Source organism: Homo sapiens, chromosome 7, assembly GCF_000001405.40.
Source record: "Homo sapiens chromosome 7, GRCh38.p14 Primary Assembly".
Taxonomy (NCBI): domain Eukaryota; kingdom Metazoa; phylum Chordata; class Mammalia; order Primates; family Hominidae; genus Homo; species Homo sapiens.
In genome coordinates this window covers 125,218,837-125,233,208 of record NC_000007.14, presented here as the reverse complement: position 1 = coordinate 125,233,208, position 14,372 = coordinate 125,218,837, and the positions used below count along the sequence as shown (strand labels likewise).

General features: G+C 35.6%; 2 long non-coding RNA genes across 3 annotated transcripts in view; one reads left to right on the top strand and one right to left on the bottom strand.

Moving 5' to 3' along the window:
• LOC101928254 (uncharacterized) overlaps positions 1 to 3,630 on the top strand; it is a 34,713-nt gene extending 31,083 nt beyond the window's left edge. For both annotated transcript variants that reach the window (NR_110183.1, NR_110182.1), the window contains one exon: positions 2,368 to 3,630. This is a non-coding gene — a long non-coding RNA (uncharacterized LOC101928254). The remainder of the gene's footprint in view (positions 1 to 2,367) is intronic.
• Positions 1 to 14,372, bottom strand: part of LOC101928283 (uncharacterized) — a 194,753-nt gene that overhangs the window by 146,113 nt on the left and 34,268 nt on the right. The gene's annotated exons all lie outside the window — the stretch shown is intronic.

Sequence of the window (14,372 nt, the reverse complement as noted above, 5' to 3'; positions counted from 1 at the left end):
ATGATGATACAAAAATGAGCCAGGCGTGATGATATGTGCCTGTAGTCCCAGCTACTTGAAGGGTTGAGGCTGCTTGAGCCTGGGAGGGTGAGGCTGCAGTGAGCCGCATTTGCACCACCACACTCCATGGTGGGTGACAAAGTAAGACCTGTCTCAAAAAAAAAAAAAAAAGGAAAGAAAGAAAAGATGTTGAAAATAACCATAAAGATGAATTACTTATAAAGAATAACAATTAGACTGACAGTTGTTGACAGCAACAAGAGGCTCAAAGACAGCAGAACGGTATCTTAAAAGTGCTAAGAGAAAATGAATATCACCTAAGAATTCTATACTCAGTTCAATTATCATTCAGGAGCATAGATGATATAAACACATTTTCTTTCAAATACTGGAACAGTTTAGCCCTAACACATACTTGCTAAAAGAATTACAAATAACATACCTGGATAAGAAAGAAATTGAATTAGAGGAGAGAAGTAAAATGCAAGAAGCAGTAATATAATCTGTAACCAAGTTACCAGATCCTGGTTGAGAACAATTGCAAAGAAAAGAAAGAATATTCAATTCAATATTAGTTGACCAGATAGCTTACTGATCCAAATTGGGAAAGTTTTGCAGTGAATGGGGTTACTAAAATAATTATAAAATATAATTTTATAAAAAATTTTATTGACTAGCCATTGGTTTCATTATATTGGTAGACCTTAACAGAATTATGTTTTAAAATATTTTTGAAATTAATATATTTCTTAAAAATGTTTAAATATATCCACATATTTATTTACATTAAAGAAAATTTTTGAAAGTGTTTAATTTTCTAAGCCTTTAAAAATACTACAAATTCACCTGGGCATAAATTTACATACTTTATTCAGTTTCTTAGTCGTATCTGTTTCTAGTACAATGCCAATGATGCTAATATAAATACATTTTAAATATGTTCTTAATATTTTTAATATTTTTTATAAAACTGCCTATATTTGTTCTGAAAATAGTATTTTATAGTTAACAAATAGGAAAATGCTAACAAATTATATTGAAGAGTCTTCACATATTTTTAAATTATGAAAATCTCTCTACATGCTGAAGTCCCTGGGAGCTGAGAAAAAAAAAATTTCTACTAAGCATAAGACATTTCAGTTATTGTCTTTTCATCTCCAATCAGAGTATATTCCTTCAATAAATATTTTCACAAAATAAAACTCATAAAACAAGTTGTAACTACTTCTGAAACGTGAAGTATTATAGAAAGTAAAAAGAAAGGCTGCACGTATCACCATACTGAGCTTTCGTATATGGGTTCATTCAACATCAGTTTTGCTATAAGTTTTTTAGTTTATTTACTCTAGTGGTATCTATATACCACTAGAAAAATTGTAAATGTTTACAACTTCATGCTTCTATGTCCATTAGTAGAACATTCATCTTATTTGAGTATAATTATAACTTATGTGTGTCCAAAAACCAATTCCAGCTACACTTCTGCTCCATAGGTTTAATTTATTTATTCCTTTTACTACAAAGGAATTTAAAATATTCCTTTTACTACAAAGCTTTGCCTTGCCAATTGGCTAAAATATTTGTATCATTCCCAGTCAGTTTTTACTGATATTCCAATAGCATGGTAACTGTTTCACTTTTAACAAATTGAACTTCTACATCCATATTTTCAGTCAATGAATATATAGGAAAAAGAAGCATTTGAAAACACTATTAAAAAAAAACTAGAATAATTTATTTTTGAAGTTTCTCTTGCACCAATGGAGCCAAGACATTTCACATCTATCACATCATTCTTCATGAAAATGGACTAATATAAGAAATTGGTACAAGGAGAGGGGCACTGCTATAAAGATAGCCTGAAAATGTATAAGCAACTTTGGAAATGGGTAACAGGCAGAGGTTGGAACAGTTTGGAAGGCTCAGAAGACAGCAATATGTGGGAAAGTTTGGAACTTCCTGGAGGCTTGTTGAGTGGTTTTGACCAAAATGCTGATGATGATATAGACAAGGCTGAGGTGGTCTCAGATGGAGATGAGAAACTTATTGAGAACTAAAGCAAAGGTCACTCTTGCTATGCTTTAGCTGGAGGTATTTTGCCCCTGCCCTAGAGATCTGTGGAACTTTCAACTTGAGAGAGATGATTTAGGGTATGTGGAAGAAGAAATATCCAAGGAGCAAAGCATTCAAGAGGTGATCTGGCTTTTCCTGAAAGCATAGTCATATGTGTTCACAAGGAGATGGTTTGGAATTAGAAATTATGTTTTAAAGTAAAGCAGAGCATAAAAGTTTGGAAACTTTGCAGTCTGACCATTTGGTTTAGGTTGATGCAAAAGTAATTGTGGTTTTTGCCATTATATTTAATAGGGAAAAAAAATCCTGGGGAGAAATTCAAGCTAGCTGAAGAAATTTGCATAAGTAATGGGGAACCAAATGTTAATCACCAAGACAATGGGGAAAATGTCTCCAGGGCATTTCAGAGATCCTAGAGGCAGCTTTTCCCATCACAGGCCTGGAGGCCTAAGAGGGAAAAAGTGGTTTCTTGGGTTAACCTTGGGATGTGGCATCCTGCATCCCAGTCACTCCAGCTCCAGCCACGGATACAAGGGCCAAGGTACAGCTCAGCCCATTGCTTCAAAGGGTGGAAGCCCTAAACGTTGACAGCTTCCATGTGGTGTTGAGCCTGCGAATGCACAGAAGACAAGAGTTGAGGTTTGAGTACCTCCACCTAGATTTCAGAGGATATATGGAAATACCTGGATGTCTAGGCAGAAGTGTGCTGCAGGGGCAGAGCCCTCATGGAGAACCTTTGCTAAGGCAGTGTGGAAGGGAAATGTGTGGGTTGGATACCCCACAGAGAGTCCCCACTGGGGCACTGCCTAATGGAGCTGTGAGAAGAGATCCGATATCCTCCAGACCCCAGAATGGTAGATCCACCTACAGCTTGCCCCATGCACCTGGAAAAGCCACAGACACTCAACACCAGCCCATAAAAGCAGCCAGGAGGGGGACTGTACGCGGCAGAGCCACAGGATGGAGCTTTCCACAACTGTGGGAGCCCACTCCTTGCATCGGCATGCCCTGGATGTGAGACATGGAGTCAAAGGAGATTTTGGACCTTTAAAATTTAATGACTGCCCAGCAGGGTTTCAGACTTGCATGGGGCCTGTGGCCCCTTTGTTTTGGCCAGTTTCTTCCATTTTGAATCGGAACATTTACCCAATGATTCTACCCTCACTGTGTCTTGGAAGTAACTAACACCTGCTTATTGATTTTACAGGCTCATAGGTGGAAGGGACTTGTCTTTTCTCAGGTGAAACTTTGGACTTGGACTTTTGAGTTAATGCTGGATGAGATAAAACTTTGGGGGCTTTTGGGAAGGCAATGACTGGTTTTGAAATGTCAAGACATGAGATTTGGGATGTGCCAGGGGTGGAATGATATGATTTGGCTCTGTGCCCCCACCCAAATCTCACTTCAAATTGTAATCCCCATGTGATGTGGGAGGGACCAGGTGAGAGGTGATTGGATCATGGGGGTGGTTTTCCCCATGCTGTTCTCATGACAGTGGGGAGTTCTCATGCGATCCGATGGTTTAAAAGTGAAAGTTTCCCCTGTGCTCTCTCTCTTTCCTACCACCTTGTGAAGAAGGTGCTTGCTTCCCTTTCGCATTCTGCCATAATTGTAAGTTTCCTAAGGTCTTTCCAGCTATGCTGAACTATGAGTCAATTAAACCTGTTTTGTTTATAAATTACCCAGTCTCAGGTAGTATCTTTATAGCATGTGAAAATGGAATAATACAATACATAAATGCATAAATGGAGCCCTTGCAGCTTTGTGTCCAATCTTCTTAAATAACCAAAATTTAGAAGTAGACAATGAGACCATGACAAAAGCTAGAAATAAGATGCTTTGAGTTTTCCCACACCTATCCTGATTTATTCTAAAGCAACTATTTACTTTAAAAAAATCTTGATTAATAAATGAAAATCTGGGACAAATGCTAAACTAGATGGATGCCAGGACAATAGACAGAAACCAGACCTGTCCCAAGCAAACCAAAATGTGCAGTTGCCCGTAACAAACAGCACATTACACTTGGTCATTTACATATAGTATAGTGGCATTTTGGATAATGTGCTTTAAAAATCTGACTTCAATTTTGTATAGCCAGCATTATGGACTTAATCTATAAGGTTTAGAGTAATGTATATAAGGCATTGAAGAGGATTTTACAAGGCTTAAAAACTTACTTAAAAATATTGAATGCTTTTATTCAATAAAAGGAAGCATGTTATAAAATTGTTTGAATCTACGGTTGTCATGACATTTTATTTTTTTTCATGAATAATATGACAAAGTGCTATTGTTAAATGTTGGTCTTCACTTAAGGCCAACTGCTTCATTTTCCCCACTGCTAAAAAATGAGGAACTATCTTTTTTATTGATTTATTTTTATATAAAAAACTGTTAGAACTGGTAGGTGAATCCAATAAAGTTGTAGGGTATGAAATCAACATACCAAATCAGTAGCATTTTTATACACAAATAATGACCTAACTGAAAAAGAATTCAAGACAATTATCCCATTTATGATAGTGTCAAAAAATAAGATATGAAGGAATATATTTAACTAAGGAGATTAAAGATCTGTACACTGAAAACCATATAATATTGATTAAAGAAATTGAAGAAGACACAAATAAATAGAAAGCTATCCCATGATCGTGGATCAGAGGAGTTGATTTTCTTCATGTATTCATGCTACCAAAGGCATGTATATTGCCATATACAGATTCAGTGTAATTCCCATCAAATGGTATTCTTCACAGAAAGTTTCAAAAACCTTAAAATTTGGCCAGGCACACTGGCTCACACCTGTAATCCCAGCATTTTGGGAGGCCGAGGCAGGCAGATCACGAGGTCAGGAGATCGAGACCATCCTGGTTAACACGGTGAAACCTGTCTCTACTAAAAATACTAAAAATTAGCCAGGTGTGGTGGTGGGCGCCTGTAGTCCCAGCTACTCGGGAGGCTGAGGCAGGAGAATGGCGTGAACCCAGGAGGCGGAGCTTGCAGTGAGCTGCTGAGATCGTGCCACTGTGCTCCAACCTGGAGGACAGAACAAAAGGCTTTCCAAAAAAAAAAAAAAAAACACTTAACACTTAATATTTGTGTGGAACCATGAAAGGCCTGAATAGCCAAAACAATTTTGAGAAAGAAAAACACAATTGGAGGCATCAGACTCCCTGGTTTAAAATTACTGTGTATTCCAAAGCTAAAGGAATCAAAAGAGTATTGTACTGGCATAAAAACAGACACATAGACAAGTGGAACAGAATAGATTCAAACTCCAGAAACAGATTCAAACTCCAGAAATAGAAACATATAAGGTCAACTCATTTTTGACAGGGACACCAAGAGGACACAACGGGGAGAGGAGAGTTCTTCAAACAAAGGTGCTGGGAAAACTGGAGGTCCACATGCAAAAGAATGAAATTAAATCTTTATCTTAAATCATAAACAAATATCAACTCAAAATGGATGAAAGACCCAAATATTTAAGATAAGAAACTATGAAACTCCTGGAAAATAGCATAGGGGAAAAGCTCCTGGGTATTGGCTTTGGCAACAGTTTTTTGGCTATTACACCAAAAACTCAGACCACAAAAGCAAAAATAAACATAGGAGACTACATCAAACCAAACACTTCTGTATGGCAAAGGAAACAATCAACAAGATGAATGAATTACCTACAGATTGGGAAAAATATTTGCAAACCATATATCTCATATGTGGTTCATATTCAAAATTTATAAAAATTTATATAACTAAATAGTGAAGAAACAAATAGCCTGATTAAAAATGGGCAAAAGACATGAATAGACATTTCTCTAAGGAAGACATAAAATAGCCAACCATTATACGAAAAGGTACTCATCATTATTAACCATCAAGAATATGCAAGTCAAAACCACTGTCAGATACTATCTCACACCCATTAGAAAAATCCTAAAGACAACAAATGTTGGCAAGAGTGTAAAGAAAAGGGAACTCTTACACACTATTGGTAGGAATATAGATTGGCATAGCCATTATGGAAAACAGTATGGAGATTTCTAAAGGAATTAAAAAGAGAACTACCATATGCCCCAGCAATCTCCCTTTGGGCATATGCCCAAAAGAAATGAAATAACTACCTCATAAATATACCTTCACTTCCATGTTCATTGCAACATTATTTGCAGTAGTGAAGATATGTAAACAACCTAAGTTTTCATCAGTGGATGAATGGATAAAGAAACCATGGTACATATATGCAATGTAATATTATTCACACCTAATAAAGAATGAGATCTTGCCATTTGCCACAACTGGATAAGTCTGGAGAATATTATGCTAAGTGAAATAAGCAAGATGCAGTAAGAAAAATGGTGCATGGTCTCACTTAGATGTAGAATCCAAAAAAAATTAAATATACAAGGAAAACAAAATAAGTCTAGAGAGCTAATGTATAGCATGAGGGCCATAGGTAATAAAATTGTACCATGTAAGAGATTGATGTTAAATGAGTAGATTTAAGTGGTTCTTGCCACAAAAGCAAAACTGTGGGTAAATATTTGAGATGATAGATGTGCTAATTTGCTTCATTATAGTAATTTCTTTACTATCTTTATTTATACCACAACGTGTTTATACCTTAAATATGCACAATAAAATTTATTTTTAAAAGTCAATGTATAGCCATTTTTCAACACAGAAACTATAATTTAAGTTTGAACAATCACAAAGAGTATTGCCATACAAATTATATCGTTTCTTCGTCTTTACCTGTAGTGCAGCAGAAGTCTGGATAAATTTCAGAATGTATAACATGAGTTAAGGAATACACTTTATTGAGAAAATCTGTGTATGCCCAAGGTCAGCAAGCAAAGTTTTAGGAACCCCTTATCCTCTTATCATTCATTCCACAGAGAAATGTGCTCAATCTCTGAGCCTGTTAAATCATTGAGTCCCCTCTAATATGAGTTTCCTTTTTCATATAACAAGTATAGGGAAACAGTATCATCACTGAAGGAATAAACGAATGGATGGATTTAGGGTCCATCTATTTCCAAAGGTGTTCTGGAAATACTAGCATTTCAAAACCTAGAGATCTTGGATCTCAAGAAATCCTTCTGTTGGGGGAGGAAGCCTCAGGCCTATGGGAAGATGATTTGGTAAGGGAATCCCTACCTTCAATTTGCTAATATACAGGCAACACAAGGTGAGCATGTGAGGTCACTTTCAGCAATTCTTGTGGCAGCACAAGTCTTATAAAAACTCATATGAAAAGTATCTTTATTATTTAGTTATAACCATTACCATAATATTATCTTACACCAATGGTAATTTAAGACTAACAAGTACTACATCATACCATTGCAAATTTACCTGAACTTTCTATATATGGTACAATTTTAAGCTTCATATTTGCAAGAATAATAAGGTCACCTGGTGCCAAACAATCTTAACTGTCATAACCATTACTATACTTTGGTACTTCAAGATGATGGACCTGAATGAAAACGGATTCAAGGCTGCAGTCTATACTTGCCTCATGCAAGCAGGATATGGCTGTCACTGCCTTGAACCACAGAAAATCTGCAAAGTAATTATATAAAAAGTTGCTGGTTTTTACATCAGGAACATATAGTGTTTGGAGTCTAACTAGCTATTAAGTTATATATATATATATATATCGACCAATTAAGTATTAAATTGAATGAAGTCAAAAATGCTAACTAAATAACTGATTAGGATTCCAAAAAGCTGAATTAGAAATCACTGAAATTGTATGACTGAAAATTCAGCTCTGCAATACACATAGAGAAAATTTTACCATCAGATTGTCGATTATGTTAGAGTGTATGAATTATAACGCCTGCTTTTATGTAAATTTTCTATGCAAAACCACCACAGATTAATCACATTCCCTAATTTATGGTATGAAAAGGACGAATTTCGACAATTGCAGGGGACACATAAACCACTTGAAACACAATACGCTTCTTTTCACTTTTCCCTGGAATTTTGTTTGCTTTAAAATAAAATTAAAGCCTTTCATTCATGTAAGTAAAAAAAAAATTGGATGACAGACAGTAGAGACTTAGAAATGACAAAAAAACAAGGTATCAGAGCACACAAGGGCATAGACTGGTTTTATTCCCATTGATTCCATCTTCACCATTCAAATATAAGATAATCATGAAGAGGTATGTAACCTACCTGTGTTTCAGTTTTTACAATTCTAAAATGGAAATAAGAAGACAATCTCAAGGTAGAACTGATATAAATTATTATGCCTATCACAATAATTTTAAGGATGTCTGCCTGAATTCCAAGTTGATGACTACATTATATTATTTACCATGAGTTTCAGAGAATAGTTTGATGATCATTTACCTCAATACTTTTTTAGAGTTAATAATAATAATAAAAGTGTCTCATATTTAAATATCTTAAAGAAAAGCTTAGTTACATTTGAACAAGATTCTTTACTTCTGGCCTTTTCAGGGAATTCTTATGCCATTGTGAAAGTTGAAGACAGAAAAGCCAGCATGCATTGATTGCCAAATACATAAAGTCCATTTTATTTTTTTTTGTGAATTTCCTGGGGCTAATTTCTCTTAGCAAACTTTGGGGAGCACTCATCTTATTTTTTTTTAAAGAATTTCATCTTTATTGCCAAGTGGTTTGAAACTTATACAATCATTTTTAAAAAGAACATTTTATTTTCACTCATTAATTACAATCTAATCTTTAAACCGCAGAAAGTATTTATTTACACTTACACCTTTGGTGGTTTTAAAGTTACTTTTGAATTGATTTTTTTAAAGGGCAGAAAGAATACTTGTTTGTTTTTCAAAGAACATGAATCCATTGGAAAGAGGTGTTATTTGTTGTTGTAGTGCCAATTTGGAGAATGTTGTTGGTATATAACTTAAGTTCAGTTGTTGACCACAAAGAATGTCTTTCATTTATTGATGTAAAAAAATAAACAAGAAGCAAGAACAAGGGAACCTCCTGGTAGCATTGCACAGCATGTTCAGACAAAGTGTTGAGCATTTTCTGAGCAGAATATTATGGCACATACAAGCATTGCCTAACCTTAGACTTAATATGTGAAACTTGATATTCCAAACATGTAAGTGTACATATGTGTGATTCCCCACATATTCCAGTGTACTGCAGGACAATGATGACAAATATTGTCCTTCTTTATGCAAAATCCACAATAGCCATAAGGCAAATGACTACATTTGTTTCCCTTTTCTATTGTAACAAATTACCACAAATCTAGTGGTATAATGGCTTAAAGCAATGCAAAAAAATATTTTGCAGTTTGGAAGTTCAAAATGGGTCTTATGAGGCCAAAATCAAGGTGTCAGCAGGGTTGCATTCATGCTGGAAGCTCTAGGGGAGAAATAGCTTCTCTGCCTTTTCCAGTTTCTAGAGGCTACCTTTATTCCTGGACTCATGGGCCCCTTCCATCTTCAATAAAAGGCAGCAATTAAATCACTCAAACCTCTGCTTCTGTTGTCGTATATCTTTTCTTTGACTCTGCCTCTCCTGGATCTCTTTTTCACTCATCAGAACCTTTATGATTACATTAGGTTCACCCAGATAATCCGAGATAATCTCCCCATTTCAAGACCCTTAATTTAATCACATCTGCTAAATGCTTTCAGCAATGTAAGGTAACATATTAATGGTTTTTAGGGATTAGGACATGGACATCTTGGGAAGGCCATTTTTCTACCTACCATGACAATACTTTTGTTTACATTTAAAAAAAACACAATTCAAACCTTTCTATGAGTTAGCAATCATAATTCTCAATTTCCTGAATATCAACAGTGATGATTTAGATTTTGAGTATTGACAGAAGATTTACTTGCCAAATGACTGAATAATATAAATAGCACCTGCTACTGAGTTTAAAAAATAGAGGACATTATTTTAGAGTTTTTATTGCATATGGCTAACATAGACACAGAATGATTTTGTCTCCCAGCTACCACATCCATCAACTCAATTTTATCACTTTGTTTTCCTAAACAAGAAAATGTTTTATAAATCATGCACATCTGTCATCTGTAAGAGGCATCATGTGTTAAGAACAAGTGTTTAGAGTTTAAAGTGATGTATTTTCTCTTTTTAATAACTTGTCTCTGCCTGGTATTTTCTCACCTTGCAGCAAAATTTTAGAGGTTGCAATGTTCTCCAATGAGCTATTCTATTATAAATTCAAAGAGGTTTACCACATCAAAAAAAAAAAGCATCCGTTGACTTGATAATTCACTGACTCCATTCTTCACATCAGATAAATGCTATTTGACCATGTGAGATCTAATAAAAGCCAATGCCAATTTTGTTAAATTCTCTCACTGCTGCATCTGTGCATGGATCATTAAACACCTTTAGCACATCATGTATGCTAGACATTAGAGCCAGACCTGGTTCATCTAAATCAATTTGTAATTTATGTAGTTCAGTTATGGATTTTCACTGCTAATGCTTCAAAATGTGACCCAAGTATTCTTTTAAGTTAACAAACTAATCAAGTACAATTCAAACTGAGAACAATTGCTTTTATTATTATTTTTCGTCAACCTCATTACAGCTTTGAGTTTCACTTTGCTTGTATTCTGGATTCAAATAAATTCACATAAATCACAGATTCAGATAATTTGGGGCTCTCTCAGCAAGCATAGTCAAGACTATCAGCAAACTTGTGCCACAACAAAATAATGGACCTTCTATAATGTAATGCCCTGAGTAATCTGTTCTGAATTACATCGATATAGAAGAAACACAATGAGATTATTTTAATATTTTTATATTTAAAATTATTTCTGTGAAGCTTTAGATGGATCTGACTTATTCTGAATTCCATTCTAGGATGAGTTTTAAAACAAGATTTCATTGTATTTGGATATCAAAATGGGACCCTTTATAAGAACTTAGAGGAAAGGAATTCATTTGGCAACTATTCTTTCAGAGATTGTTGTACAAGATTAGTCTAAAGTGTGGGGAAAAGCAAGAGAGATCAGATTGTTACTGTGTCTGTGTAGAAAGAAGTAGACATAGGAGACTCCATTTTGTTATGTACTAAGAAAAATTCTTCTGCCTTGAGATTCTGTTAATCTATAACCTTACCCCCAACCCCGTGCTCTCTGAAACGTGTGCTGTGTCAACTCAGAGTTAAATGGATTAAGGGCGGTGCAAGATGTGCTTTGTTAAACAGATGCTTGAAGGCAGCATGCTCCTTAAGAGTCATCACCACTCCCTAATCTCAAGTACCCAGGGACACAAAAACTGCGGAAGGCCGCAGGGACCTCTGCCTAGGAAAGCCAGGTATTGTCCAAGGTTTCTCCCCATGTGATAGTCTGAAATATGGCCTCGTGGGAAGGGAAAGACCTGACCGTCCCCCAGCCCGACACCCGTAAAGGGTCTGTGCTGAGGAGGATTAGTAAAAGAGGAAGGAATGCCTCTTGCAGTTGAGACAAGAGGAAGGCATCTGTCTCCTGCCCGTCCCTGGGCAATGGAATGTCTCGGTATAAAACCCGATTGTATGCTCCATCTACTGAGATAGGGAAAAACCGCCTTAGGGCTGGAGGTGGGACCTGCGGGCAGCAATACTGCTTTGTAAAGCATTGAGATGTTTATGTGTATGCATATCTAAAAGCACAGCACTTAATCCTTTACATTGTCTATGATGCAAAGACGTTTGTTCACGTGTTTGTCTGCTGACCCTCTCCCCACAATTGTCTTGTGACCCTGACACATCCCCCTCTTTGAGAAACACCCACAGATGATCAATAAATACTAAGGGAACTCAGAGGCTGGCGGGATCCTCCATATGCTGAACGCTGGTTCCCCGGTTCCCCTTATTTCTTTCTCTATACTTTGTCTCTGTGTCTTTTTCTTTTCCAAATCTCTCGTCCCACCTTACGAGAAACACCCACAGGTGTGTAGGGGCAACCCACCCCTACATAAAGAATATGGAAGCCATGTATTTTTAGAGGACATGCTATTTTAACTTGCTCAGCTGTGATTATCAAGTACCCTGTATCACAGGTGATATTGTATTTGCCAGTGAGCTGGAACTGGGCCAAGACCCACTACATGAAACATGGCACTAGCAAGAGCTAGAAAGGAGCTCATGATGCCCTGAGAGCTGACAAGGCTCATACATTACAGCAGTTCAGGGAAAGGCTCACTTCTTCCTTGATGCTGTGATACTAAAGACATTATTTTCATTCTTTTTATGCCTGCATAGTATTCCATGGTGTATATACAAAACATTTTCTTTATTCAATCTTCCATCGATGGACACTTTGATTTAATGTCTTTGCTATTGTGAATAGTGTTGTGAGAATTATGAGTGCAGGTATCCTTTTGACATAATGATGTCCTTTCCCTTGGTAGATAGTACTGGTATTGCTGGGTCAAATGGTAGTTCTGTTTCTAGTTCTTTAAGAAATCGCCATACTATTTTCCAAAGAGGTTGTAGTAATTCACATTCCCACCAATGGTGTATAAGCATTCCATTTTATCTGCAAATCTCTATTAATTTTTAGTCCTTTTAATAATAGCCTTTCTGATTGGTGTAATATAGTATCTCATTGTGGTTTTAATTTGCATTTATCTGAAGACAAGTGATGTTGAGCATTTTTTCGTACATATATATGTTGGCTACTTGTATGCCTTCCTTTGAGACATGTCTGTTCATGTCCTTTGCCCATTTTTTAAATGGAATTATTTGTTTTTTTCTAGTTAATTCCTTGTAAATTCTGGACATTAGCCCTTTGTCCAACGCATTGTTTACAAAATTTTCTCCCATTGTGTAAAGTGTTTATTTATTATGTTGATTCTTTTACTGTGCAGAAGCTTTTTAGTTTAATGAAGTATCATTTATATATTTTTGTTTTTATTGGATTTGCACTTGAGGTCTTAGTACAAATTATTTGCCTAGGTTAATATTGAAAAAAGAACATCCTAGATTTTCTTCTAGAATTTTTAGTTTCAAATCTTTTTATGGTTGAATAGTACTCCATTGTGTATATGTACTACATTTTCCTTATCAATTCATCTATTGATGGACACTTAGATTGCTTCCACATCTAAGCTATGGTAAACAGTGCTGCAACAAACATGAGAGTGCAGATGTCCCTATGATATACTAATATTCTTTCTTTTTAGTATATATTCAATAGTGGGCTTGCTGGATCATGTGGTAGCTCAATTTTTAGTTTTTTGAAGAACCTCTAAACTCTTTTCCATAGTGTTACTAATTTACTAATTAGTGCTACTAATTTATATTCCCACCAGCAGTGTATGAGGGTTCCCTTTTCTCCACATCCTTGCCAGCATTTGCTATTGCCTGTCTTTTTGATAGAGGTCATTTTAAGTAGGGTGAGATAATATCTCATTGTAATTTTGATTTGCATTGCTCTGATGATTATGTTAATCAATTTTTCATATTTCTGTTTTCTGTTTATATATCTTCTTTTGAGAAATGTCTATTCAAATCTTTTGCCCATTTTTTGATCAGACTGTTATCTTTTTCTTAAGAGCTGTTTAAGCTCCTTCTGTATTCTGATATTAATCCCTTGTCAGATGGGTAGTTTGCAAATATTTTTCTCCTGTTCTGTATGTTGTCTCTTCACCGTGTTGATTATTTCCTTTGCTGTGCAGAGTCTTTTTAACTTGATGGGATTCCATTTGTCCATTTTTGCTTTGGTTGCCTGTGCTTGTGGGGTATTGCTCAATAATTTTTTGCCCAGACCAATGTCCTAGAGATTTTCCCCAAAGTTTTATTGTAGCAGTTTCATAGTTTGAGGTTTTAGATTTAAATCTTTAATTGACGTTGATTTGATTTTTGTATCTGGCAAAAGATAGGGAATTACTTTCATTCTTCTTCACATGAATATTTAGTTTTCCCAGCACCAATCATCAAAGAGATTGTCTTTTCCCCAGTGAATGTGCATAGCACCTTTGTCAAAAATGAGTTCACTGTAGGTTTGTGGATTTGTTCCTAGGTTCTCCTATACTGTTTCATTCGTCTATGTGTCTATTTTTATGGCAGTACCATGCTGTTCTGATTATTATAGCTCTGTGGTATAATTAGAAATCAGGTAATGTGGTTTGTCCAGTTTTGTTCTTATTACTTAGAATTGCTTTGGCTATTATGGGTCTTTTGTGCTGCTTCCATATAAATTTTAGGATTGTTTTTCTATTTCTGTGAGGAATGTCATTGGTATTTTGATAAAAATTGTATTGACTCTGTAGATGCTTTGGGCAGTATAAACATTTTAACAATATTG